The following is a 27,644-nucleotide window of genomic DNA, read 5'->3' as shown; positions in this document are numbered from 1 at the left end:
TTGGTTTTACGTGATGACGTAGAGCAGTCACCTCCCACCCACCACAAGGAGACTTTATGCTGGCTACATGCAGAGACGTCAGGAGCTCAGGGATCTCTGCTGGACTGCCTGCCAGAAACCATGCACAAGGAGCAAAAGTCACTCTCCTCTGACTGTGCTTCCCTATCAGTCAGGGAGGTTACCCCTGCAGCAGCCCAGAGCAAAAACAGAGAGCGTCCCAGGAGCTATGAGGCTGGTCTGCCAGGCTGCTAAGTCAACCAAGACTACAGCACAGTCCCAAACTGTAAACACCTCTGCAGACGGGCCCTTGCTCTCCGCGTGCCAGGCAAGAAAACTATTCTTAGAACACTGTCAGCAGTTGGGGGAAAATAAATATTTGTCTATGTATGTATATACTCCAGTGGGAGTAGGGTGGGGTGCAGGAGTCTCAAATAATGTGCCAACAAATTGGCACAAAATCCCTTAATAAGCAGCTGGCACTGGCTGCGTTCCACTGCAGGATTGTGGTCTTGCAAACCAAGCCCATGAGAGGATTCAAGAGACAGCCCTAAAAACCTGCCGGGAAGAGTCTTCTCCAATGTAAATACAAACCTACACGAACCAGGACCATGGCCAACAATGGCAAGCCCTTCCAAGGGTAACAGCAGAATGTTAAGAAATTAGAGAGGTCATTTAAAACAAGGGAGGAAGGTAGCTACAATTCCATTACAGCAAATCCCTTACTGGCATTTACATTCCCAGCCCTAATTCCTAACACTGTGTTCAATGTCAATAGCAAAATGAAGCTCTTAAAAAGAATTAAGCTTTCAAAGATCATAAGGAAGTTAGCCCCCTGTTTTAAAAAGCACTGCTTAGAAAGGTCCATCAAATAACATTTCAAGGGTTGATGGGAAACCAAATATAATTCAATAAATATACATGGGTAATACTCAGACATCCTCATTTGTCTATGTAATGACTCAGATTTGACACTCTGATCCTTGACTGAACACAAAGACTATATTCCAGAAGAATTGTGCAGAGTACAAAGGGAGAGTTACAGATGACAACACACTCGAGTTAAAGACTAGAAAAGACAATACCATATACAGAATGCAGACATGACTTGATGCAATGGCAGTCTCCCTGTGCAGACTTTGCAGAACCTTCTCTGTCATTCAATACTCAGTCCTGAAGCTCCAGGGAAGATACAGAGAGGAGGATGCCATTCTTGGCTAGCCAAACCGGCAGAAAGGGCCGTTTTTAAAAGGAAGCTTCCCAGCACTAGCCCTTCGAGAAGGCACCAACCTCCTTACCAGCCATAGGACCCTATTTTTGAGAGTCAATGCTGCTCACCATCTCTATCCACCTCTACTGCAAATAACTTACTAATACTAGCGCTCAGAACCCACATTCTGTGCAGCTACTCTTACCTCACATCCTACAATGCCTAACACATAGTAGGCCCTCAATAAATATGTATTGCAATGGTAATTAACATTTAGAAAGCAGCGCTGGTCCGGGGATGAGAAGATGCCAAAATAATTAGAAAAGAGAAAAAGAGAAGGGAATAGACCAAGACACAGAGGAAAAGAAAAGAAGCAAATCAAAATTATCTAATTCTAGCTAATTAAAAAATTTTGGGGGAAAAACAAAAATCATGCTAGTTCATGCGGCTATGGGCACACAGCAACCATTCCTGTGCCTGGGCAGAGCTAAGGAGTCCTGCTTGCTTTAAAGAGCTTCTAGCTGCCCTGACTGGCGACGAGGTGTCCCTCCAGGTAGGTGACCCAAGAACGCTGTACTCTCGGATGCGCCTTCCCCCAGTGCCGCCCACCCACCATGCGTCCCTGTCGTCCTGAAAACCTCTGCCTCATCGGGAAACCTTCTCCTTTTCCAATTAAAAAAAAAAAAAAAAAAGTTTAAACAAGCAAATGCCCTCTCCGCCACGATAGCGATTTAACCTAAACCGAACCCACTGTCTTCCACCGGTGTACTCACAGGGCGCGCCCCCAGGCCCACCCGGGGCGGCGCACCGGGAAGGGGTCCCGAGGAAGCTTCCTAAAGGCTGTGCAGGGCAGACCCCTTCACAAAGGCAAGTGCCGGGCCGGGCTGGGTGCTTGTCGCTTCCTGTTTATTCCAAGGTGAGGGGCAGAGAGAAATTCAACACACGCCTGCTTCCTCCGGGGCTCGGAGACCCAGCCTAAGTGCAACAGCAGCAGCCCCAGACAATCGACTTCCCAGCCAATGCCGGGAGCTCCGGGCGGTCCCGCGACCGACGTCAACGCGCGCGGGGGGACCCGGGGGGACGCCGGGTGAAGCGGGCCCGAGGGGCCGGGGCCGGGGAGCGCGCGGTGCAGGATGCGGGACTGAGGGGCTGCGGGGCTTGGCCCGCCCCCTCCTTCCCGCAAACTCCCCGGTCAGGTCCTGCAGGATCTTCCCGCTTCCCGCTGACCTCCAGTCCCTGCCCGCCACGGCTCGCCGAGGCCTAGGGGCGCGGAGACAGTTGGGGCTGCCATCCGCGCGCCCATCCTGGCCTCCGGGCGGTGCAGAATTCAGTCTTGCAACCGCGGGACACCCTGCGCCCCAGGGCACCAGGAAACAGAAAACGGGGTGGGGGTCGGCGAAGTCCCTCCACCGGCGTAACCCCGCCCGCGGGCCAGCCCCGGATCCCCGCCGTGCCCACCGGCAAGCCCACCCGGACCAAGCCTCACAGACCTCGCGCGCTCGGCGCCCAGCTTCTCCCTCCGGCCCCAGCCGACGGCGCAGGCTCGCGGACGTCCAGTTCCCAAAGCGTCCGGTTCCCGAGTCCCCCGCCACCCCTCCCTCCGGAGCGCAGCGGTGAACTTGGGCCAGAAGCCCCGACCACTGCGGCCACCTCGGGTCCGCACTCACCTGGGCCGCCCCCCCGGAGCGGAGGCGGGGACTGCCCGCAGTGCGGCTCCGCGGCCACCGGCCCTGCTGGCCAGGGGGAGGGGCGCTGTGCGGGGCGCGGCAGGGGGCGCGCGGCGGGCCGGCGGGGAGCGCGGCGCGCCGGGGTTCTTTAAGAGCTGAGGACCTCACCCCCGGGCCTCCCCCGCGCTCCCCGCCCTGCTTCCACTTTCCCAGGCACCCGCAGCCTGTCTGGCTGCAGCGGCGGCAGCGGCTCAGTGGCTTGCAGGGGATCCCCGGCCGGCCGCGGCGGCGCGCGGAGCGGGCAGGGCCAACGCACTCGCCTGCTAATCCCGCCGGGCCCGGTCCGCAGCCTCAGCGCGGGGAGAGAGGGGACGCGGCGCTGCGGCCGCCGGGGAGGTGTCCCGCCTCCAGTCGCCGGAGGGGGGAGTGTCCCGCCTCCCGCCGCCGTCGCCGCCGTCTGTCTCCAGCCGTGACTGCGCGCCGCGGCTGTGTCTGTCTCCAACTCCTCCAGTCTCTCCTCCTCCTTCCCACTCCGCGGTGGGGACCCGGCGCGCGGCCAGGCCGCGGGTACCGGGGCCGCCGTGGCGGGGGCTCAGGGGTCCCCGGCTCACAGGCTGCGCCGACCCCTGCGGGGGGCGGGCCCGGAGGCCGGGGGTGGGCAGTGGGGGAGGCGCGCGGGCGCCGAGGCCGCGGGACCCGGGGCCGCACTCCCGCCCAGGGCTCGGGCCCGCGTGGCGCGCGCCCACCGCCGGCCGCACGGGGAACTCCAAGCCGAGCGCAGAGTACGCTGCAGGGGCGCCCGGAGGAGCCGGCTCGCTGCCCGCAGGCCGGGGGCGGTTTCGGGAGGCTGGGGGCGCGTTCCAGCACAGAGTACCTCGCGGGCTGCGTGTGCACCACGGGCCGCGGGACCTCGGGCAGCCGCCTAGAGACGTGCAGTCGGGCGGCAGGACACTTAGTAGGACGGAGCAGTGCTCGGCGAGCCTTGAGGAGCTTGAGGCGCCCCCGGACCCCACCTGGTCGCCCCCTTAGTATCCTGCCCTCTTTAAAGGAAATGGCTCCTGCCTAGAAGGTCAGATGGATTCTTCGCGCTGTGACCCTTTCTCCTTGAAGGACCTACACCTCCTGTGAAGACCATTTCGGACTTGACCTCCACCTGAGTGCAGACTTTGTTCAGAAGTACACGCATTGCCTCCAGCCACCCCTACCATGTTTGATGGGGGATTGGTTACTGCCAGAGCATATGAGCATTTTAACCCAATTTTATTGCAGTCACCAAAATTAGTTCGCCTCTGCCAAAATTAACCCCCCTGCAGACATATCAAAATACTACACTAAGCAGGGGTTTCAGGCTGGGTTTAAGATAGATGCAGCTGATTAAAGGAGTGAACATTTTCAACTGTCCCCACACACCCCCCAAAAAGTTGTCCAGTTCATATTTCCGTAATGTCAGAGAAATGAATCTTTTGAAACCTACGTTTTGTCTAATTTGTCAGTGACTTTTTAGTTAGTGAAATGTTGGCTGAATTCAGTTTCCCTTAAGCCCTCAGCTCTCAGCTATGGTGGTAATTGCCGCTAGCCTTTGATCAGTGCTCATATGTGATGTAATAATAACTACCATTCATGGAGCGCTTCTGTGCTAAGCGCTTTACATGGATTGTCTGATTGAGTCCTCACAATAACTGGGAGCTATTACTTCTCCATTTTACACATGACGAAGTTGAGGCTAGAAGGATTTAGTAATTTGTCCTCAGACCACAAAGAGATGGTTTTACATCCCTAACTAGCTGCATAGAAAGCTGGGAGCTGAACCAGCATGCCATACTGCCACCTACCTACAGCAGCGCTGACAGTTCTTCAGCTCAGCCCGCAAACCAGCCAGCATCTGCCCTGTGCCCGGCAATGAGCCCGCTCCAGCTGGGAATGCCCAGGTCCTGGTCTAACTGAGAAGCTTGTAGCAGGGGAACTTTGAACCTGGCTGCCTGGGTAAACTTTTTTAAATGAGCAATAAGCTGATAAGTGCTTCACACAGGTTATCCTAATCTGACAAGCATATACTTAGTTTATATTTAATGTCCACAAATGCAAAACTCACATGCTTTGGGGTTGGAGAAACTGTGCTCTTGCCCTCTTTAGGTAGAAAAAGAAATGACTTTTTCCATCTAAACGCCCCATGGACAATGAAGAAGAAAAGTTTTTCCAAAACCACAAAGCAATGCCTTCTATTTCACTTGCACATAATTTCTCTGTGTCTAACTTAACCGCCTTAAATTGAGGGCTGAATTTTAAAATCATAATCTCAATTTCTACCATTTGTGATGAATCTCAATCTCGTGTTGCCCTTTCTTATCTTATTTATAACTAGAAACTGCTGCGGCTCTGTATTTCTATCTCTAGAAAATATGGGAGGAACCTGTCCCTGTGTTTTCTTTTTTTTGTTTTGTTTTGTTTTGTTTTTTGAGGCGGAGTCTCGCTCTGTCGCCCAAGCTGGAGTGCAATGGCGTGATCTCGGCTCACTGCAAACCCCGCCTCCCAGGTTCATGCCATTCTCCTGCCTCAGCCTCCCGAGTAGCTGGGACTACAGGTGCCCGCCACCACGCCCAACTAATTTTTTGTATTTTTAATAGAGACGGGGTTTCACCGTGTCAGCCAGGATGGTCTCGATCTCCTGACCTCGTGATCCGCCCGCCTTGGCCTCCCAAAGTGCTGGGATTACAGGCGTGAGCCACCGTGCCCGGCCTGTCCCTGTGTTTCCTACTCAGTCCTCCCTGTATTTGTTTTCCACTTCAGCTATTCCCTCCCACACCCTTCCAGACACACACACTCTCCCTATAGCAATGCTAAGAGTTCGAGGTACTTAGATGTAAGTTTGCTCTCTGTAAAATGCAACATGATTCTACATCGGCTTCATCCTGACCATTCGCTCATTCCAAGGGCCCAGACTGAAGCGCAGCAGAGCGGAGACTTTGTTTTGCTCCGTTGGTGGAGAACTTGGACCCCAGTACACAGAATAGTGCCTGACACAAGGGGCTCAAAGGGTTTTTTGGAATGAATGGTACCTTAGTATTGGGATAGATGAGTAAACAATATTGAGATAAATATTACTAAAATTGGGTGGAAATCAACTGAAATTGGTTTCAAAGAGTGAGAGGTGAAAAAGATTATTTTTCACTGTCAATCCTTGCAGCCTGTCTCATGTCAATTATACCCTGGCCATACTTAGTCCATAGAAGTTTGCTAGTCAGTCATCTAAGGAGACATAAATAGAAAAGGGAAACATGAACGAATGTTGAGAAAAAGGGAATTTGAGGGCCAAGTGACCTCAAGTTGAATGTGAATTTGAGAACACAATTTTGTTTCTTGGATCTCATGCATAACATTTAAATGAAATTTATCCAATATGATTCATCCTATGCCTTGTACTCTTTAATTTAAATGAGAAATAGAAGGAAATGAGAAAGAGAAGCTTCATGTGGGTAATTCTGGTCCTGGAGAAGTGGGAGCCCCGCTCTAGATTCTCAGGACCAGAATCTACGATGAGCAGCCCCGGAGCAAGGGCTCTGTCCCTGAGCCTGGACGACTTCTCCTGCGCGTTTCGCCCCAACACGCAGCATCGCCACACCTCAGCGTCTATCTGTACACTGGAAGTAATAGTTACTACTTCATGGGGTCTTCTGTGACACTGGCCAAGTCCCCATCTGCATACCCATCCCCTCCCTGGGATCCTGTGGACCCCGCTGCTCCAGGACCCACCAACCTCATTCACTTCCTTTGGGATCAGGTTGAAAATCACACAGGATGGAAAGAGAAGTGTTCTGCAGGCAACTTCTGCTCTCAGCCTGGCTGCAGAGCTCTCTCCTTGGGCAAAAGCCACAGCACCTGCTCTCTCCTTAGGGGCCAGGGAGTGAAGACAAAGGGAAAACACAGCAAGAAAGAAAGAAATGTGTGACCTCAAAGACAATCCATCCAGACATATTTGTGTGTGGTATCTACACATTACATCGCTGAAAAATGATGAAGCGTTTCCTGAGCTGTGATACATGTACTGTCAGATCTCTTACAAATATTACAGTACCTAAAGTTTCCCCAGCCCTGCGCACACCTCCCGCATCTCAGTCTGTACAGCCACAGCTCTATCTGTCCTGTTGCCAAGGTGGCCCCCAAGTCCCCTGCACCCCACAGAGCATCCCAGGGTAGCTGAGTCTTCCCTGAGCTCTGGGTCTCTGAGGCTGCAGTGATGGCTGCTGGTTTGAGGTGGCCTCTGAGGCCTCCCTTCTGAATTCTCCATTTCTCTCTGACACATGGTTCAGTCAGCTGTCTACTGGGGTATAAATTGCCAGCAAGTTAAGTGTTGAGCAAGGTACCCGGCCCAAAAGGTAAATAAATAAATGTTTATTTACTTTTCAATAAATATTAGCTTCCTTCAGTCCTTTTCACTGCCTTACAAGCAAGGACAAGCTCTGGTGAGTTTATACTGTGTCAGCTGAGCCGTGCGGGTCCCATGCTTCCCAGAATTCCTTCCCTGCAAGGTTCCAGGTCCAGTTGGCCGCAGAGAAAGTTGTGTGAGATTTGGAAGGAGGAAGGCAAGTCGCCGTTTGCAGCGTCTTGTGGGGTTCCAGGTGCTGTGAAGCCCTCACACCTCCTTTACCTGAGGTCCCCTTGTCCCCACTGGGCCTCCCCCCGAAGCATCCCCAGTCCCGGGTGAGGAATGTGAGAAGGGCACCTGTGGAGAAGGGCACCCTCCTCGTCCTCAGGTCACCAGTATCCCTGAGGTTGAAGGAGTGTGAGACGGCCCAGGCTGCCCTGTCCTCAAGGGCTCCAGGTGTCCCCGTGAGTGTGGTTTGTCCTCACTCTGCCTGCGGGCCTGCCAGTCCCAGAGCCATGGCCTCCCACGGCTTCTCACCAGCCACAGCGGCCCATCATAAATCCCTGGTCCCAGGCTGCTTTCAGAGGCTCTGCTTTTTCATCAAACACTGACGGAGGCAGGATTGTGTGCCTCTGCATCTCCCTGTCCCGCTGGTGAGGGGTCGTTTGTAGAGAACATAGCAATGTGGCTTTCCTTACCGGAACGTGCTCCATAAGAAAAGGGCGAATTCCTTGAAAAGGTCCCTTACGGAAGAAGATACTTAAGTAGCCAACAAGCATGGGAAGAGGTACTCGCTCGGTTTGCACTGAACTCACGAAATAGCACACCCACTAGAATGGCTGAGGTTGGAAACAGTGACAATTGTAAACATTCACCAGGGTAAGGAGTCAGTAGAACCTGCATCCCAGCAATTCTCCTCCTGCGAGGGCACAAGAGGACTGAGGGCAGATGTCCAACAAATGGCACCCACGAGGAGCTTCATGCTGGCTTGCTCAAACGCAAGAGAAAAAAACTGGAAATAACCCGAATGTCCATCAGGGAAAAAAGATAAATAAATTTTGGTACACCCGTGTAATGGAAGATTACAGAGTAGTTTAAAAACCGTGAAACTAATGAGCAGTGATATTGAGCTTTTTAAAATATGTTTGTTGGCCACATGTGTTTTCTTTTGAGAAGTGTCTGCTCGTGTCCTTTGCCCACTTTTTAATTGGATTATTTATTTTTTTCTTGTAAATTTGCCACTATCCTCAGCAAACTAACACGGGAACAGAAAACCAAACACCTCATGTTCTCACTTATACGTGGGAGCTGAACAATGAGAACACATGGACACAGGGAGGGGAACAACACACACACTGGGGCCTGTCAGGGGAGAGCGGGTGGCGGTGGTGGGAAGAGCATCAGGTTAAATAGCTAATGCATGCCGGGCTTAATACCTAGGTGATGGGTTGATGGGTGGAGCAAACCATCATGGCACACATTTACCTATGTAACAAACCTGCACGTCCTGCACATGGACCCCGGAAATTAAAATAAAATAAAATTTTTTTAAACCCATGAAACTGCTGGCACACACAACATGGATAAATGCCACAAAAACTTATTTGAATGACAGAATTCAGGCTCAAAAGAATAGTAACATATGGTTTTATTTGTGTGATGTTCCAAAACAGGAGAAGCTAACCGATGATGATAGAAGTTAGATCCATGGTCACTCAGGATGGTAGTGGGTGGGAAGGGGCAAGAGAGCCCTTGGGGGAGAGGGAAATGATCTGTCTTCATCTAGTGTGGTTGCAGGGGTATATGCATATGTAAAAATTCATTAGCTTTATGCTAGTGAATTCATTAGCTGTGTGTAAACGTCATACACATTTATATTATAACACCACATTTTTAAGGTTTTGCAAAAAGGGAACTCTTGGATGTGGGAGGACTTTGTAAGGCGGGGTCACTCAGCAGCAGAGCCAGCTCTCTCAGGCGGGGAAAAGCAGAGAGGCAGTCTGCCCACTGGATTAGACTCCCCAGACACCTCGCAGGCCTCCTCCCTCCACAGGAAAGGGCTCAGCTCACTCCCCTGGGCTGAATGAAGTGCCGCTGAGGAGTGCCTGAAGCTCATTGCCTGCAGACACTCACGCTGCACTGAGGCTTTAAACAGCTCATTTCCACTCCATTCCTTGACACGCCTTTGGAAGCTGCCTTTGGCATTCTTTTTTTTTTTTTTTAATTATACTTTAAGTTCTAGGGTACATGTGCACAAAACGCAGGTTTGTTACATATGTATACATGTGCCACGTTGGTGTGCTGCACCAGTTAACTCATTATTTACATTAGGTATATCTCCTTATGCTATCCCTCCCCACTCCTCCTCCCCCACGACAGGCCCCGGTGTGTGATGTTCCCCACCCTGTGTCCAAGTGTTCTCATTGTTCAGTTCCCACCTATGAGTGAGAACATGCAGTGTTTGGTTTTCTGTCCTTGCGATAGTTTGCTCAGAATGATGCTTTCCAGTTTCATTCATGTCCCTACAAAGGACATGAACTCATCATTTTTTATGGCTGCATAGTATTCCATGGTGTATATGTGCCACATTTTCTTCATCCAGTCTATCATTGATGGACATTTGGGTTTGTTCCAAGTCTTTGCTATTGTGAATAGTGCCGCTATAAATATACATGTGCATGTGTCTTTATAGCAGCATGATTTATAATCCTTTGGGTATATGCCCAGTAATGGGATTGCTGAGTCAAATGGTATTTCTAGTTCTAGATCCTTGAGGAATTGCCACACTGTCTTCCACAATGGTAGTTCAACCATTTACACTCCCACCAACAGTGTAAAAGCATTCCTATTTCTCCACATCCTCTCCAGCACCTGTTGTTTCCCGACTTTTTAATGATCGCCATTCTAACTGGTGTGAGATGGTATCTCATTGTGGTTTTGATTTGCATTTCTCTGATGGCCAGTGATGATGAGCATTTTTTTCATGTGTCTGTTGGCTGCATAAGTGTCTTCTTTTGAGAAGTGTCTGTTCATATCCTTTGCCCACTTGTTGATGGGGTTGTTTGTTTCTTTCTTGTAAATTTGTTTAAGTTCTTTGTAGATTCTACATATTAGCCCTTTGTCAGATGGGTAGATTGTAAAAATTTTCTCCCATTCTGTAGGTTGCCTGTTCACTCTGATGGTAGTTTCTTTTGCTGTGCTGAAGCTCTTTAGTTAATTAGATCCCATTTGTCAATTTTGCCTTTTGTTGCCATTGCTTTTGGTGTTTTAGTTATGAAGTCCTTGCCCATGCCTATGTCCTGAATGGTATTGCCTAGGTTTTCTTCTAGGGTTTTTATGGTTTTAGGTCTAACATTTAAGTATTTAATCCATCTTGAATTAATTTTTGTATAAGATGTAAGGAAGGGATCCAGTTTCAGCCTTCTACATATGGCTAGCCAGTTTTCCTAGCACCATTTATTAAATAGGAAATCCTTTCCCCATTTCTTGTTTTTGTCAGGTTTGTCAAAGGCTCTATTCTGTTCCATTGGTCTATATCTCTGTTTTGGTACCATTACCATGCTGTTTTGGTTACTATAGCCTTGTAGTATAATTTGAAGCCGGGTAGCATGATGCTTCCAGCTTTGCTCTTTTGGCTTAGGATTGTCTTGGCAATGTGGGCTCTTTTTTGGTTCCATATGAACTTTAAAGTAGTTTTTTCCAATTCTGTGAAGAAAGTCATTGGTAGCTTGATGGGGATGGCATTGAATCTCTAAATTACCTTGGGCATTATGGCCATTTTCACAGTATTGATTCTTCCTATCCATGAGCATGGAATGTTCTTCCATTTGTTTGTGTCCTCTTTTATTTCATTGAGCAGTGGTTTGTAGTTCTCCTTGAAGAGGTCCTTCACATCCCTTGGTAAGTTGGATTCCTAGGTAATAATACCATACATCTACAACCATCTGATCTTTGGCATTCTTTAACCTCATTCCACCTGGAAAGGTGGGGACGCATAGTGAGACTTTAGGCCTGGGTCACAGATTCTGCCTCAGGAATTTCTCTGCTCTGTCCAGTTCAGCCTGCAAGACTTAAGAACCTCATGTTTCGTTTAAAGTTTGAATTATTTGTTGGGCAGTCCGTTAGATGGCAATGATTAAATTAAATGCTTGAAGTAAAAAGGGTAAAGTGCTGTTGGTAGGAGTGTACGTTAGTTCAGCCATCGTGGAAGACAGTGTGGCGATTCCTCAAAGACCTAAAGACAGAAATACCATTCAACCCAGCAATCCCATTACTGGACATATACACAAAGGAGTATAAATCATTCTATTATAAAGGCACATACATATGTATGTTCATTGCAGCACCATTCATAATAGCAAAGACATGGAGTCAACCTAAATACCCATCAATAGTAGGCTGGACAAAGAAAATGTGGTACATATACACCACAGAATACTGTGCAGCTGTAAAAAATGAGATCATGTCCTTTGCAGGATGTGGATGGAGCTGGAGGCTATCATTCTTAACAAACTAACACAGAAACAGAAAACCAAATACTGAATGTTCTCACTTATAAGTCGAAGCTAAATGATGAGAACATATGGACACAGTGGGGAACAGCACACATGAGGGCCTTTCGGAGAGTGGAGGCTGGGAGGAGGGAGAGGATCAGGAAAAACAACGAATGCATGCTGGGCTTAGTATCTGCATCATGAAATAAACTGTACAAGAAACCCCTATGACACAAGTTTACCTATGTACCAAACATGTACTCGTACCACTAAACCAAAAATAAAAGTTTTTTAAAAGTATGAAGTGCCTACGTAAGTAAATGTGTGGATATGTTACATTTCTTATCAGTGCTGCTGATGTGTGTGTGCTGATTCTGTCAGTCCATTCCTGCTGCTATGACAAAATCCCTTAGACTAGGTAATTTATAAACAACAGAAATGTACTTCTTACAGTTCTGGAGGTGGGGAAATCCTAGAAAAGGAGAGACATAGACCAGGTGATCTCAGAGGCCCTTTAAGACCTTCTGCTCGTTCATTCAGCAAATACTTATGGAGGTCTTACTGTGCACCGGGCCTGTGCAATGTGTTGGGATGCAGCTGTGAACCAAAGCCCCTGCTTCACTGGGCTTACATTTTACATGGGATGTGAACTTCTGGTAGCCAACACAGAAAAAAAGAAGTTTCAGCAAAGAATGTTCCATTTAGAAGTCAGTAGGTGTTCCAGACTGCCTCAGTCCCTACCAGCTTCATCCTGCCTTTTCTAGGTAAAATCTCAAATCAGGGCCCATGTCTCCAGGACCACAAAGTCTTCACCCACGAAAGACAGAGGAAAGCCCAAACAGCCAAGTGGGATTTGGAGAAACAAGTCCTGGAGGAAAGGGTAGGAATCACACGGCTCGTACTATCTCAGCTTTTTGGGCAGAAGCCTCCCTTCAATTCACTTGGCCACTGAAGGTGTGATAAAAACATTTAGAAGCAAGGCCAACCCTCAATCAGGCCAAAATTGTGAAGCAGGCAACTTATTCTGAGTTAGCTGCCAGCTAATCTCAATTAAAGCACAAGCCAATAGCTTGACATTCTTATACATTTTAGACTCTCAAGGGACGTGCCCTCAAGGTGAAGCCATCTCAGAAATGTCTCTAGTACCTCCTTGCCAAGCAGATTTCCAACTCTCCCGGAGCTCATGCTTGCCCAGGCAGCCCACACTAAATGGGGACCATGCTGAGTTACAGGAGTTTATTCCCGCACTGAGCTGAGACCTGGGTTCAGCAGGTGGCCTCCTGCAGCCCAGGTTCAGCTGTCCTGTGCATGCAGAGCTGCCAGCGTCCTCTGCAGAAGATCACTATTTGAAGCAGCTCTCTCCCACGCTTTCCTTCTCCAAGCAGACAGCCGTGGTACTTCCAACCATTTTTCATGTGCTGTATTCTTGAGTCCTCTGTCATTCCTCTGGACACTTCCAGTTGACCCTGGAGGGTGGTGGCCAACAGTAAGTACAATGCCACATGTGGTTTTTTTCTAGTTAGACCAGGTTGGTCACCTCCCTGCCAGGGCAGATGGGGCAGTACAAACTAATATTGCAAGAGTTCATTTTAGCCACCTATCGCAAATTGCCTACAACTTCATATCTAAAACCCCGAAGTTCTGTTTCAACAAGATTCTTTGAAATGCAAGTGGTGAGACACAACTCAGATCGACACTGGAAAGGGAGTATCTTGGCTCACTTTATCTGTGAAGTTCAAGGGGTGGATGTGGCTTTAGGCAGGTCTGAAGCCCGTTTCGAATGAAGGTTTTTGTGGCTTTGTCTGTCTCTCTCTCCATTCCCGCTCTGCTGCCTCAGTTGAGTCTGATTCTCAGCTAGGGCCTCTCCATAGGGCAGCAGTGGCCCCAGGTGCTCCAGTCTCCCATCCTGTCTAGTGGCCCCAATGAAAAAGTGTGTCTTTCCCAAGAAGGCTGGCAGAAAGGTCCTGGGAGAACACTGGTCTGGGTCAATCCCACATTCCCCTGAGATCCCAACACCAAAGCAAAAACACAAGTGGGCTAATGGATTAGGGCCAAGTCTGGGTCTTCTGCATGTGTCTTTGGCCTCACCTTGCACAGTCTCCTGGGTTCAGTAGACTGCTTTACTCAAGGGACAGGGAAGCTTTAAGAAGCTGAAGCCAGTGTGCCTTCTGGCAACTGGCTGGCCCTGAAATACAGCTGTGTCCTTTAATAAAAGAAAGGTCTTTTTTTTTAAATCTGGGGGCAGGACTTCTCTGATGCAAACCATTTCAAAACCGTCCTATGTCCACTACACTTTGATAGTAGGGGTAGCATGATGCTATTTGGAAAATTATATAAAAGCAAGGAGAAAAAGGCCCTGTAGGTGTCCGGGGTATTGATGTCCAGCTGCCCAGGAATTCCAGGAGCTTCTAGAAAGATGTTTCCTGAGGATTTGTTGTAGTCAATGTATAAAGACATTAAAAATCAGAGTAAATCATTGGTTCACAGGCATGAGTAGACACATGACCTACATAAAAATTAAACAAACATATAAAACATCACAGGTATGGACGACACATCAGTCCCCGCATGCCATGAAGCCAGGGTTTTCCAGCAACTGGGGACTTGCCTACAGCAGAAAATCCCCGAGAGAGTCCTCCTCAATTAGGAGGGCGGAGGAGGAGAGAGGCTAAGAAAAGCGTCACAGGCCCAGAGATTAAATCCTTCCCATAGACCACAAAAGAGAGGCCAATTACAGGAAAATTTCATCTTAATGGCCGCTCTGATTGAATATTATCACTGCTGACTGTGAGTAACTCAGTATGTGTGAGTTAAGCCCTCTGCTTCACAGAAGAGAATACCCTCTGCCAATGAGCTGTGGCTTCAGGCTGTGTGATCTGTGCAAATGTATTGTAATTAATTGAGCTTTAAAAATTGACTTTGAAGGTCTCAAGGTCTTGGAAATGGCTGTTGGCTTGGAAAAAGGCATCTTCTGAGAAGGTGATCGAAGGTACTTAACTGACACGAAGCATCTCTAAATTTATTTATTTGGAGGGGGTAATTTTATTTAAAAAAAAATCTTTGTGTTCAAAATGGATAAAATTTACAATTTTAAAACATATTTTAGTATTAGAACAAAATAAAGAGCGGCTTAGTAAAGTTGGAGTTGAATGAGAACATCGGTGTGAGTTCACACACTTTAAAAGGGTTTCCGATTCTGTCACCGGAGCATGGACAGCCCCTGCTTCCCTCATTACATGTGTGTAGCCTGGACTCAGAGGGAAGCCCAAGGCCTTCAGAGAGAGAGCCCTGGATTTCAGCCTCTAATGCTCCTCTCCACAAACAGTGGCCAGAAATCCTTGGAAAGTCGCTGCTTCCATGGTGAAAACGGCGAAAATCAAGATGGGCGCAGCACATCTTGTGGTTGCCAGAGAATGTTTTTCAAAATATGTGAGATCTTGCTAAATAAAACAAAGAACCCCCACTAGCCAAAGTGATGTTTTGCATATCAAAAATAAAGTGCCCATCACAGTCCAGTGGAGCACATGAAGCCTTGAAGAGGTCCCAGTAACCCTACGAGAAAGGAGTCAGTCTCAGCTAAACCCAAGGGAACAATCTCAAATGATATGCAGAAACAAAGATATCACTAGAGTAAGCTGAAAAAATCAGTGTTCATGTCCTTTGTTCATTTTAAGACAAAATGTATTTTTTAAGACATTGGCAATGTAGAGATGAAGCGATCCAAACACTAGGGGAAGCATAAGTGTAGAAAATATTAGCTAAGTGAACCCTCATGAACAATTGCTCTTACCATGTGACCCAGCACTCATGCTCCATGGCGTTTGCCCGGAGCATGTGGATGCTTATAGCAGCTTTTTTCATAATTGCAGAAACTTGGAAGCAACCCAGATGTCTTCAGTAGGTGAATGGATAAATAAACTGTGGTGCATCCCAATATTGGAATATGATTCAGCACTAAAAAGAAATGAGCTATCAAGCCATGAAAAGATATGGAGGAAATTTAAATGCACATTATTTAAGTTAAGGAAGACAATCTGAAAAGGCTACACCCTGTATGAGTCCAACTCTATGACACCCTGGAAAAGGCAAAACTACGGAGACAATAAAAAGATCAGGGGTTGCCAAGGGTTGGATGTTGGGGAGGGATGAATAGATAGAACATAGAGGATTCTTCAGACAGTGAAACTACTCTGTCTGATACTATAATGGTGGATACACAGTATTATACAATCATCCAAACCCGTAGAATGTACAACACCAAGACTGAACCTCCAACTCCTGGGCTCAAGTGATCCTCTGCCTCAGCCTCCCGAGTAGCTGAAACTATTGGTGCACACGACCACATCTGGCCAATTTTTAAAAAATTACTATAGAGGCAGGATCTCACTATGTTGCCCAGGATAGTCTCAAACTCCTGGCCTCAAGCCATCCTCCTGCCTCAACCTTCAAAAGTGCTGGGATTGCCACCACCCAGGCTCGCCCCTGGTCCTTAGTTGGCAATAAAGTATCACTCTTGGCTCATCAGTTGCAACATCAGCATATCACAGTAATGCAAGAGGTTTACAGTGCAGGACATAGGGACTTGGTGAGGGGACATGAGAATCCTCTGCACATTCTGTTCAATTTGTCTCAAAATAAAATATATTCATTAAAATAAAACTACTAATTTCTTATCAACTCATCTCATAAAATGGACTGATGGGAGACTAAGTCAGTATCCTATTAGCAGACACAACCAGAAATTAAGAGTGGTCCCATGTCAAAGAGGTTTGCCCAAGCATTGCAGATACAGGACTGAACAGACTGCCATCCTGGCCGTCTCGAATGTCAATGTTAGTAATAGTTATTTTATTATGATGTTGAACTCATCATTTATAATGCCATATTTGTTGCTTCAGTTATCACATTTAACCTGTCACAAGCTTAAAAATACATATTCTTTAAAAAGATAGTTTGTGGATCAAGAACTCCCAGTTAAGCCTACTAGATGAGCTGTGTGTGTTTGTTGCTCTCCCTTCAAAAAAACTGCTAAAATAATAATTGAAAAGATACAAACCCACTTGTCGAAGGGAGAAGAGACCAACGGCAGACATAAGATTCCAGACGATTTTTGGAGAGTGGAAAGAGCACGCAGTTGACTTAGAAAAGCATCCCGGGCCGGGCATGGTGGCTCACGCCAGTAATCCCAGCACTTTGGGAGGCCAAGGCAGGAGGACTGCTTGAGGTCAGGAGTTCGAAACCAGCCTGGCCAACATGGCAAAACCCCATCTCTACTAAAAATACAAAAAAAAAAAAAAAATTAGCTGGGCATGGTGGCAGGTGGCAGGTGCCTATAATCCCAGCTACTCGGGAGGCTGAGGCAGGAGAATTGCTTGAGCCTGGGAGGTGGACGTTGCAGTGAGCCGAGGTCGTGCCACTGCACTCCAGCCTGGGTGACAGAGTGCGACTCCATCTCTAAAAAAGAAAAAGAAAAGAAAAGCACCATGGAGGTGGATAATATTTAGATCATGGTGTGAGTTGACCCTCCCTGCAAACCCCTGAGAGGCAGCTGGAATGAGGAGATGTGAGATGGGGCAGGAGCTACTCAGAGAGTGATGTGGCCACTGGGCCCCTTCCCCGTGAGCAGCCAAGAGACCTCCCCCCCACCACGTTCTCTCTCTCTCTCTGGAGACCAAGGGTCATCTTCCAGAGATGCAGCTTCCCAGAGGCTCTAGATCAGGGCACCAAATGAAGCAGTACTAAGGTGGGAAGACAAAGCACCTGACCGTGGGGCCTTCTGCCCTGCTCTCAATCAGCTCTTCAGCAAATATGTATCGAGTGCAACTTTGTACCAGGTACTCTTTCAGGGGATTTGATGGTGAACCAAACAGGCAGAGTCTCTGATCTCATGGAGCCTGCATCCCAGTAAGGCAGACAGGTAATATTAAAAGTGCTGGTATCCCTGGAAGAAATGAAAGTAGACGCTGGGACAGAGAGTGCAGGGCCATCTACTGTAGGTAGGAAGTCAGGGAGGCATCTTGGAGGAGGTGAATTGGAAGCAGAGACTTGCATGGGGAGGAGGAGAACTTCCAAGATATGGGGACAAGAATTCTGGCCATCAAAGGCCACGAGACAGGTGCACGCTGGGCTTGCTCAAGTAGCAGGGAGGAGGCTCGCTGGTGCCAGGCACGCAGTGATCCAGAGGAAAGTAGGAAATGAGCAAGGAGAGGCTGATGGGCCCCGGGTCCTGCAGGGTTTGAAGATGATGATGAGAACTTGAGACTGGATTCCAAAGGAGATGGGAAGTCACTGGGCGTGTGAACACTCAACGTCCTTTCTAAAAGCATCATTTTGGGAGGAGGGGGATGGTGTGGAAGCAGCCAGACTGGTCAGGAGGCTGCCGCAGAGCACCAGCCTCACCACTGGCAGAGCATTGCGCGTCACCACCCATGCCCGGCAGGAGGGAGGCGCAGTCTCCTTGGGCACTGATGAGTGGCCTTGGGGAAAGGAGCTCCACCCACCTGGCATCAGTTGAAAGGTGACAGAGCCCTGATCACTGCACAGTGCAGCCACCAGTATGCTGGACAGCAAAGACCAACACAAAAAACTTCCAAGTTTAAGCTTCTTCTTGAATTTTTAATGTTCAATTATGAAGCAGTTCAAACGTGCAAGTAAAAGAATACTATGACATCTATATCCTCAGCAAGATAAATCAGAAACTGATATTTCACTTTATTTGCTTCACATCTTTTTGTTTAAAAAAAAAGGAATGAGGGAACTAATAAGGAAAAGTACAGCTGTAGCTTAAGTCCTTCTTTCTCTCCCTTTCCTCCCAGGTCAACATTACTGTGAAATTTGTGTGCATTATACCCATTTTGTGCTTTTATTACATATTATTACATCTATAAACAATCTACATGATTGCTTTGTGTCCTCAAAATTACTTAAATGATATTATACAGTGTGTATCTTTCGCATCTTGCTTTATTCACTCAATATAATATATTTGAGGCCGGGCGCAGTGGCTCATGCCTGTAATCCCAGTACTTTGGGAGGCTGAGGTGAGCAGATCACCTGAGGTCAGGAGTTTGAGACCAGCCTAGCCAACATGGTGAAACCCTGTCTCTACTAAAAATACAAAAATTAGCTAGGTGTGGTGGTATGCTCCTGTAATCCCAGCTAATCGGGAGGCTGAGACAGGAGAATCACTTGAACCTGGGAGGCAGAGGTTGCAGTGAGCTGAGGTTGCACCTCTGCATTCCAGCCTGGGTGACAAGAGCAAAACTCCATCTCATAAAATGAAATAAACTCTATATATATATCTCATATGAGGGATGACTTATTTTAGCTGTTGAAGAGAGTGGCATTAAATGAACCAATCTCACTTTTTAGACATTCTCCTACTGTAATAACAGCAACATCAAACACTCATATAGCATTTGCAGTATGCCAGGTACTATCTAAGCACTTTATCTGCATTAAGTAAAGTCCACAAAATGAGCCTGTGATATATGATCTATTATGATAACCCTTTTAGAGATGAGAAAACCAGCTACAGAGAAGTTAAATACCTTGCTTCAGGTCACACAGCTGGTAAATGGCTGAGCTGGAATTTGAATCAAAAAAGTTTGGCTTCAGAATTGCTTTTTTAATCACGTACTGTGCTGTAAAAGAAGTTATTTCCAATATTTCACCATTATACAGAGTGCTGTAGTAAACATCCTTGTGCACATCTTCTTGTGTAAATACGGCAGTCTCTCTAAGGCAGACAGCCCAAAGTGGAACTGCTGGGTTATAGGATATGTGCATGCTTGGTGTGGTTGGCTGAGTAATGGCCCCCAAAGATGTCCATGTGGTAATCCCTGCAACTTGCTAATATGCTATTTTAGATGGGGAAAGGGACCCTGCAGGTGCGATTAAATTAAGGATTTGGGGGTGAGGGGGTTATGCTGGATTATTTGGGTGGGCACAATGTAATCACAAGAGTCCTTATAGGAGGGAAGCAAGAGGGTCAGAGTCACAGGAGATGTGATGTTGGAAAGAGAGGCAAAATGGGGAGAGGGAAAGACAGAGAGGAATTTGAAGATGCTGCATTGCTGGCTTTGAAAATGGAGGAAGGGGCTATGAGCCAAGGAATACAGGAAGCTTTTAGCAGCTGGAAAAGGAAAGAAGGTAGATTCTCCCCTATAACAACCGGAAGGAACTCAGCCGTGCTCACTTATCTTGGACTTTTGACCTCCAAAATGTAAGACAATAAATGTGTGTTGTTTTAAGCCATCAAGTTTGTGGTAGCTTGTTACAGCAATAATAGCATACTGATACCTCCGAAGTATGCAACAAGTAGCTGGGCAGTGGGGTGGACGTGCAGGATGTATGGAGGTGATTCATCCTCATGCAATGCCTGATGAGATGAATTTAAAGAAGCAGTAGGTGTCATCTCCACTAAAAATACAAAAATTAGCCAGGCATGGTGGCTTTTGCCTGTGGTCCCAGCTACTTCAGAGGCTGAGGCAGGAGAATCACTTGAACCTGGGAGGAAGAGGCTGCAGTGAGCCAAGATTGCACTACTGCACTCCAGCCTGGGCGATAGAGTGAGATTCTGTAAAAAAAAAAAAAAAAAAAGAATTACTCTGGATGCTAAGTAAAGAACAGACTTGAGGGCAGGACATAAAAGATGAAGAAGAGTGTCCAAGTACACCCAAACCTGTGCCTCCTGAGAAGCAATGTGAGAGGTTTGACACTTTTTGGAGAAATTGACATCACTGAAGTAATGAAGTAATCCAGCTACTCACTAAAAAAAAAAACCAGCAAATAACAACAACAAGCCCCAGAGAGAGATGACCAGTATCCAGAGTTGCTGCAGTATTTTATCTAAAATGTACAATTTTAACAAAACTCTAAAACATCCAATTTTAACAAAAAGTTAGGAAGCATGCAAGGAAAAGGAAAGCATGACTCAGAGACCAAAAAAAAAGCAGGCAACAGAAATTGTCTTTTAAAAAACTAAAAGAAGCCTGGCACAATGGCTCACACTTGTAATCTCAACATGTTGGGTGGCTGAGGTGGGAGGAGGTCAGGAATTGAAGATCATCCTGGACAACATAGTGTGATCCTGTCCCTACAAAAATGAAAATATCAGCTGGGCACAGTGGTGCACACCTATAGTCCCAGCTAATCTGGAATCTGAGGTGGGAGTATCACTTGAGTATCACAGGAGTTCAAGGCTGCAATGAGCTATGATCATAACACCGCACTCCATCTGGAAGACAGAGAGAGACTCTATCTCAATAAAGAAAAAAAAAGCAAAAAACTAACAGAACCCATGCTGAAATAAGTAAAGTATGATGCCATTTTTATATCAAATAGAGAATATCAATAAAGAGATAGAAAATTTTTTGTAAAAAAAAGGAACCAAATGGAAATTCTGGAGTCAAAAAGCACAATAACTGAAATTAAAAATTCACTGGAGAGGCTAACCTGGAAGAAGAAAGAATTAGCAGACTTGAAGATAGATTGATAGAGCTTATATACTCTCAAAAACAAAGAGAAAAAATAATTAATAATGAGTAATTATTAAAAATAACACTTCAGAGAAACATGGGAGACCATTAAGCATAACCACAAATGTATAATGGGGTATCAGAAGAAGAGGAAAGAAAGAAGCAGAAATCATATTTAAAGAAGTATTAGCTGAAAACTCCTAAATTAGCTGAAAAACACTAACCCAGACATTGAGGAAGATCAGCAAACTCCAAGTTAGACAAGCTCAAAGAGATCCACAAACAGACATTTTGTAGTAGAAATGCTGAAAATCAAAGACAAGAAGAAAATCTTGAACGCAGCATGAGGAAAGCAACTCAACACTTACAAGGGAGCCCCAATAAGATTAATGGATGACTTATCACAGAAACGATGGAAGCCAGAAGACAATGGAAAACATATTCAAAGTGCTCAGGATGCAAGTGGGGGCGGGGGGGGGGACTGTCAGCCTAAAATCCCATATCCAGCAAAACTATCTTTCAAAACTGAAGGTAAATAAATAAATAAATAAAAATAAAAATGTTGAAAACCTGAAGGTAAACTAAAGACATTGTCAGAGAAATAAAATCTGAAATAATCATTGCTAGCCAACCCACTTTACAAGAAATAATAAAGGAAGTTTTGCAGGCTAAAATCAAGTAACTCTCAGCACTAATTTAAATCCACAATGTGGTTGAACCTTGGAAACATTATAGTACGTGAAAAAAGCCTGTCACAAAAGGTCACATGTTGTATAATGCCATTTGCATGAGACATCCAGAGCATGTAAATCCACAGAGGCAGAAAGCACCTGATGGTTGCCAGGCCCTGGGGGAGAGGGAGAGATGGAGAGTAATGGCTTAGCAGGCACAGGGCTTTCTTCTGGAATGAGGAAAATGTTATGGAACTAGATAAAAGTGGTGGTTGCACAACATTGTGAGTGCACTAAAAGCCACTAAATTGTTCACTTTAAAATTGTTCGTTATGTGAATTTCACCTCAGTAAAAAAAATCAAATCAAATTTATTTTTAAAAATGTAGAGGCCGGGTGGGGTGGCTCATGCCTGTAATCCCAGCACTTTGGGAGGCCAAGGCAGGCCGATCACTTGAGGTCAGGAGTTCAAGACCAGCCTGGCCAACATGGTGAAACCCTGTCTCTAAAAATACAAAAATTAGTCAGATGTGGTGGCGCATGCTTGTAATCCCAGCTATTCAGGAGGCTGAGGCAGGAGAATCTCTTGAACCCAGGAGGCGGAGGTTGCAGTGAGCCAAGATCGCACTATTACACTTCAGCCTGGGCAACAGAATGAGACTCTATCTCAGAAAAAAAAAAATAGAGAGAACAACAGAGATGAACATGATGAAAAATAACATGGAGGGGAAGAAAAGGAGATCTACCTAGAGAGTATAGGTTTTCTAAGAATAATCAAGAAGGAATAAAACACGAGATCCAATAAGAAAAAAATGTTCTAACTACAACTTTCCGAAGCTGAAACAGGAGCTGGTTCACAGGTGACAAGCACCTACCACATTCCGGGTAAAATTAATGGGAAAGACCCACATTTAGACTGTTTCTGACACCATTTTTACCTTTAAGAATAAAGAGAAAAATTCTACAAGGATGCAGTAAAAAAAACACAGGTTACCTACAATGGAGTAAGAATCAAGGTGGCTTCAGACTTCTTCATAGCATTGTTTCAGGAGAAGTGTCACAGGTAAGTACAGGGATTTGAAAGGCACAATTCTTTATCCAGCTTAGTAGTCATTCATATATAGCACAAGGGCTCAGGAAATATATTTCTCAAATATCCTTCTTGAATTATTTGAATATATAGCATGTACATTGTATATATGAATCATGAATTTGTACTATAACTGAAAGTCAAAAACTCAAGAATGTGAAGTTTACAGTAGTGGGTATTGTTAATAAAACTCAAAAGCAATTTAAAATGTAGAGTCTGAAAGAGTAGTTTGCACCTCAAGGTTTAACAATCTCTTTGGGGTGCAAAGAAAAGCTCAGATTAGTAATGTTTACTGATTTTTGAGGGGCAATCCCTCCCACTATGTATGGTTTCCACTTACCAATGTGATTTGACAAAAAAAAAAAAGGTAAATTAATTCTCATCTCAAACCATATAACAAAAATTAATTATATAAATTAACATATCAAATGTAAGAAACATCAAAACCTACTACAAAGCTATAGTAATCCAAATAGTGTGGGACTGGCATAAAGACAGACAAATAGACCTATGGAATAGAATAGAGATCCCTGAAATAAACTGTCACATATATTGTCAAGTGATTTCAACAAGAGTGCCAAGACCATTCCATGCAGAAAGGACAGTTCTTTTCAACAAATGTTGTTGGTAAAACCAGAAATTCACATACAAAACAATGAAGTGTGACCCTTACCTAACACCAAATACAATAATTGACTCACAATGGATCAAAGATCTAAATGTAAGAGCTAAAGCTATAAAACTCTTAGAAGAAAATGAGAAAACTTCATGAGATTGGATTTGGCAATGGTTTCTTAGCTATAACATCAAAAGCACAGGCAACGAAAGAAAAAAATAGACAAATTAGACTACATCAAAAATAAAAATTTCTGTGCATGAAAGGACACAAACAACAGAGTGGAAAGGCAACCAATGGAATCAGGGAAAATATGTACAAATTATCTATTTGATAAGGGATTGGTATTCAGAACATATAAAGAATTCCTACAACTGAACAACAACAACAAAACGACAATTACAACAACCCAATTAAACAATAGATAAAGGACTTGAATAGACATTTCTCCAAAGAAGTTATACTAATGACCAACAAGCACATGAAAAGATGCTCAAAGTCACTAATCATTAGGAAAATGCAAATCAAAACAACGAGATACCACTTCCCGCTTATTAGTATGGCTACTATTTAAAAAAAGAAAATAACAAGTGTTACTGAGGATGTGGAGAATTTGGAACCCTTGTGCATTGTTGGAAATTTAAAATCATATAGGCCCTGTAGAAAACAGTATGATTTTCCTCAAAATGTTAAACATAAAATCACCATGTGATCCAGCAATTCCATGTCTGGGTATATACTCAGAACTGAAAGCAGAGTCTTGAAGAGCTTTTGCACACTCATGTTCATAGCAGCACTATTCACAATAGCCAAGAGGCGGAAGCAGCCCAAGTGTCCATCAGTGGATTGATGGATAAATGAAATATTGTATGAATATACCAGAGAATATGATTCAGCCTTAAAAAGGAAGTGATTCTGCTGCAATATGGATGAAATGTGAAGATATTCTGCTAAGTCTAATAAGCCAATCACAAAAAGACAAATATTGTATGATCCTACTTATATGATGTTATCTATAAAAGTAGTCAAATTCACAGAGACAAAAAGTGGAATGGTGATTGCCAGGGGCTGGGTGAGGATAAAAGGGAGTATTTGTGTTTAACGGATACAGAGTTTCAGTTTTGCAGGATGGAAAGAGTTCTGGGGATGAAGGGCTGTGATGTGAATGTGTAATACTTAATGCCACCAACCACACACTTAAAAATAGCTAAAGAGGTAAATTTTATGTTACATGTATTTACCACAATTAAAAATTAGTTTAAATGTAAGAAAAAACACAAAAATAAAAAGCATTAATATTAATCCTTAAAAAAAGAGCACCCCCACTCAAACCCTGAAGAACTCAAGCTTCAGAGGAGGACCCGGCAAAAAGGCCAAGGAAGGTTCGGGGGAAGGGTAGGAAAGGCGGGCAGCGTGGAGCCCCAAAGACCAACGGAGGTGAAGTAAACAAACAGCCTGATTCTCTGTACACGTAGGAGCCGTGTGTCTCCCATGTCTGCTTATCTTTTTCCTCTTATCTCTTTTTAAAAATGTCTATGTACTTCTTGGCCGGGTGCGGTGGCTCGCGCCTGTAATCCCAGCACTTTGGGAGGCCGAGGCGGGCAGATCACGAGGTCAGGAGATAGAGACCATCCTGGCTAACACGGTGAAACCCCGTCTCTACTAAAAATACAAACAAATTAGCCGGGCGTGGTGGCGGGCGCCTGTAGTCCCAGCTACTTGGGAGGCTGAGGCAGGAGAATGGCGTGAACCCGGGAGGCGGAGCTTGCAGTGAGCCGAGATCTCGCCACTGCACTCCAGCCTGGGCGACAGAGCGAGACACCAGAAAAAAAAAAAAAAAACAACTGTGTACTTCTCTTTCCCTTTCTCTGTCAGTTTCCTTCTTCCTCTCCTCATTTTTCAGTTTCCTTTACTAATTACTTCCCATGATGCCTTTCTCCTTTCATTAGACATCATAAACAACTGAAGATGTTCCTTTACCTGCTATTGTGAGGTATTTATGTTCATCTTATTGATTAAAAGCAAATAAATGAATAGATTTTTTTCTTTAATATTGAAGAGATGTGGATAAATACACCCAAATAAGTGTATTTTTGGCTCTGGTTTCAGTTTTTTTCTGTTAATAAATGGCTTGCAGTTAGAGAAAAACAGATTTCCCACCTCACTGCAGGGATACAGTCACTGTCCAACAAAAATGACGTATTCCTTTATCCAAGATGTTTCCCTTTTTAAAACATATACCTTCAGTTTTTATTTAAATTGTTTTAGACATAGCAAGAAAAAAAAAGAAAGAAAAAACCCACTGAGGATAAGACGATAAACACCTCTACATACTAGCACGTTGCCATATTTGTTTCAGAGCGTTTTCTTTTTGTGTGCGTGTGTGACAGGGTCTCACCCTGTCACCCAGGCTGGAGTGCAGTGGCATGGTCTTGGCTCACGGCAGCCTCAGCCTCCCTGGTTTGAGCAATCCTCCCACCTCAGCCTCCCGAGGAGCTGGGACTACAGGTACACACCACCATGCCTGGCTAAATTTTTTGTATTTTTTGTAGAGACAGGGTTTCACCATGTTAGCCAGGCTGGTCTCAATTTCCTGTGCTCAGATGATCCACCCACCTCAGCCTCCCAAGGTGTTGGGATAATAGGCATGAGCCACCGCACCCGGCCAGGGCTTTTTCTTAAGAAATTAAACTCTGCAGCCCTCCTTTGACCCCTCCCTTATTCTACTCCCCTTCCTTCCTAGAGATCATTCTTACCCTGAAGGTAGCTTTGAGAGCCATGAATATTCTAAAATTTTACAAATAAATTCGTAATAATTTAGCCTATTAGTTAATTTTTGAAACTAATAAATTAGCCCATTACTGTTTCTTAGATGCTGGCAGAAGACATGAGACTCCTGGGTCAGAAACAAAGGAAAATTTGTTCCATAGCAACAGCAGCATCAGCATTTTTGCACCAATAACCTGAGCCCCAGTTCCCACAGGGCAATGCAAAGAGAGTCAGATGACACCTACACACACAGTGGGTTATAAGAAAGGAGCCCTGAGTTCTGGGACCTGAGCCTTTTATCCTTGGCAGTGGCCATGTCTGACCCTTGCCCCATTAGGAATCACTGTCTCCATCTTCCAGGGTTATACGAACATCCTTCAAGGGATGGTTCAGAACCAAGGACACTGGTAACTGACTGGCAGGACATGCTGACAAGGGAAAGCTGTCTTCCAACATTAGTTGTTCCTTTCTACCCATGTTTTTATACTTACGCTGCATATGACATATTCCTAAACCATATGTATTGTTTTGTGGGTTTTTAAACTTTATATAAACGTCATCATAGTGTATGTATGACTTTTTCACTCATTACATTATCCAAATTCATTCAAGTTGACACATGTGGCTTAAGTTCATTGATTTAAACTGGCAATAGTATTTTACCATGTGAATATTTCACAATGCATTTACCATTTATCCTGTTGATGACATTTAGGTGTTACAATTTTTGGTCTTTTACGTTACTGCAATGAACATCCTTGTACCTGTCTCTTTGTACACAGGTGTGAGAGTTTTTCTTAGTGTCTGCATTAGAATGGGATTTCTGTGTCTTAGGGTATTTTCATCTTGAATTTTTGTTGCATTTTTAAAGCATAACTTTGATGAAATTAAATTTGTAGTGGCCATTTGTGTGCAGTATGCAAACCTTTCCTACCAGCCACCCCATCTCCATGTTGGACCATCTTCCCTTGTGCTTCCTGCTAGAGATCTTTTCCTCCTACCCCATTCAACAGGGGACAACTTGTAAGTAGGCTGGGCCACTGAGATGTTCTGCAGGGCTTAAGAGAGTGGTTTAAAGAAGTGGGAATTACCGGAAGTCAAATTCACCCAAAGGGATGCCCAAGCTGGAGTCGGTATGCTATGTGCCCTCCCTCCAGAGAACACATAGCGCCTGCTTGGGTTCCAGCCCTTGTTCTTACCCTGCCATTGAGCACATGTGCCTACAAGCACCCTTCCTTCCTGGGAGACCTGGAGTCAGATCCTGTTGTTCATGCAGAAGTACTCTGATGG

General features: G+C 45.4%; 1 protein-coding gene and 1 long non-coding RNA gene across 35 annotated transcripts in view, besides 3 other annotated features; one reads left to right on the top strand and one right to left on the bottom strand.

The window, feature by feature from the left end:
• The window catches only part of LDLRAD4 (low density lipoprotein receptor class A domain containing 4), a 435,073-nt gene extending 431,786 nt beyond the window's left edge, over positions 1-3,287 (bottom strand). For 12 of the 34 annotated variants that reach the window (XM_047437786.1, XM_047437787.1, XM_047437788.1 and 9 more), the window contains exon 1: positions 1,981-2,209. The gene's annotated coding sequence lies outside the window, so the exon portion shown is untranslated. Of the gene's footprint in view, positions 1-1,980; positions 2,210-2,697; positions 2,755-2,874; positions 2,998-3,194 lie in introns of those variants that run through there. The other 22 variants (NR_172142.1, XM_047437774.1, XM_047437779.1 and 19 more) reach the window with 4 other exon arrangements.
• Positions 3,049-3,418: a silencer, noted in NCBI's record as "silent region_9333". NCBI's record gives its function as "represses an Ori minimal core promoter by ATAC-STARR-seq in GM12878 lymphoblastoid cells {active_cell/tissue: GM12878}" and the evidence as "EXISTENCE:reporter gene assay evidence [ECO:0000049][PMID:35858748]".
• Positions 3,539-3,588: a silencer, noted in NCBI's record as "silent region_9332". NCBI's record gives its function as "represses an Ori minimal core promoter by ATAC-STARR-seq in GM12878 lymphoblastoid cells {active_cell/tissue: GM12878}" and the evidence as "EXISTENCE:reporter gene assay evidence [ECO:0000049][PMID:35858748]".
• Positions 3,669-3,718: a silencer, noted in NCBI's record as "silent region_9331". NCBI's record gives its function as "represses an Ori minimal core promoter by ATAC-STARR-seq in GM12878 lymphoblastoid cells {active_cell/tissue: GM12878}" and the evidence as "EXISTENCE:reporter gene assay evidence [ECO:0000049][PMID:35858748]".
• On the top strand, positions 3,697-17,198 carry LOC124904255 (uncharacterized). Its single transcript, XR_007066300.1, has 2 exons — positions 3,697-4,857; positions 15,600-17,198. It is a non-coding gene; the product is annotated as an uncharacterized LOC124904255 (long non-coding RNA).
• The last annotated feature ends 10,446 nt before the right edge of the window (positions 17,199-27,644 follow it).

The sequence above is a fragment of the Homo sapiens genome, chromosome 18 (assembly GCF_000001405.40).
Source record: "Homo sapiens chromosome 18, GRCh38.p14 Primary Assembly".
In the NCBI taxonomy this organism is placed as follows: domain Eukaryota; kingdom Metazoa; phylum Chordata; class Mammalia; order Primates; family Hominidae; genus Homo; species Homo sapiens.
The sequence above is the reverse complement of the archived record's forward strand: the minus strand, read 5'-3'. Positions and strand labels throughout refer to the sequence as shown.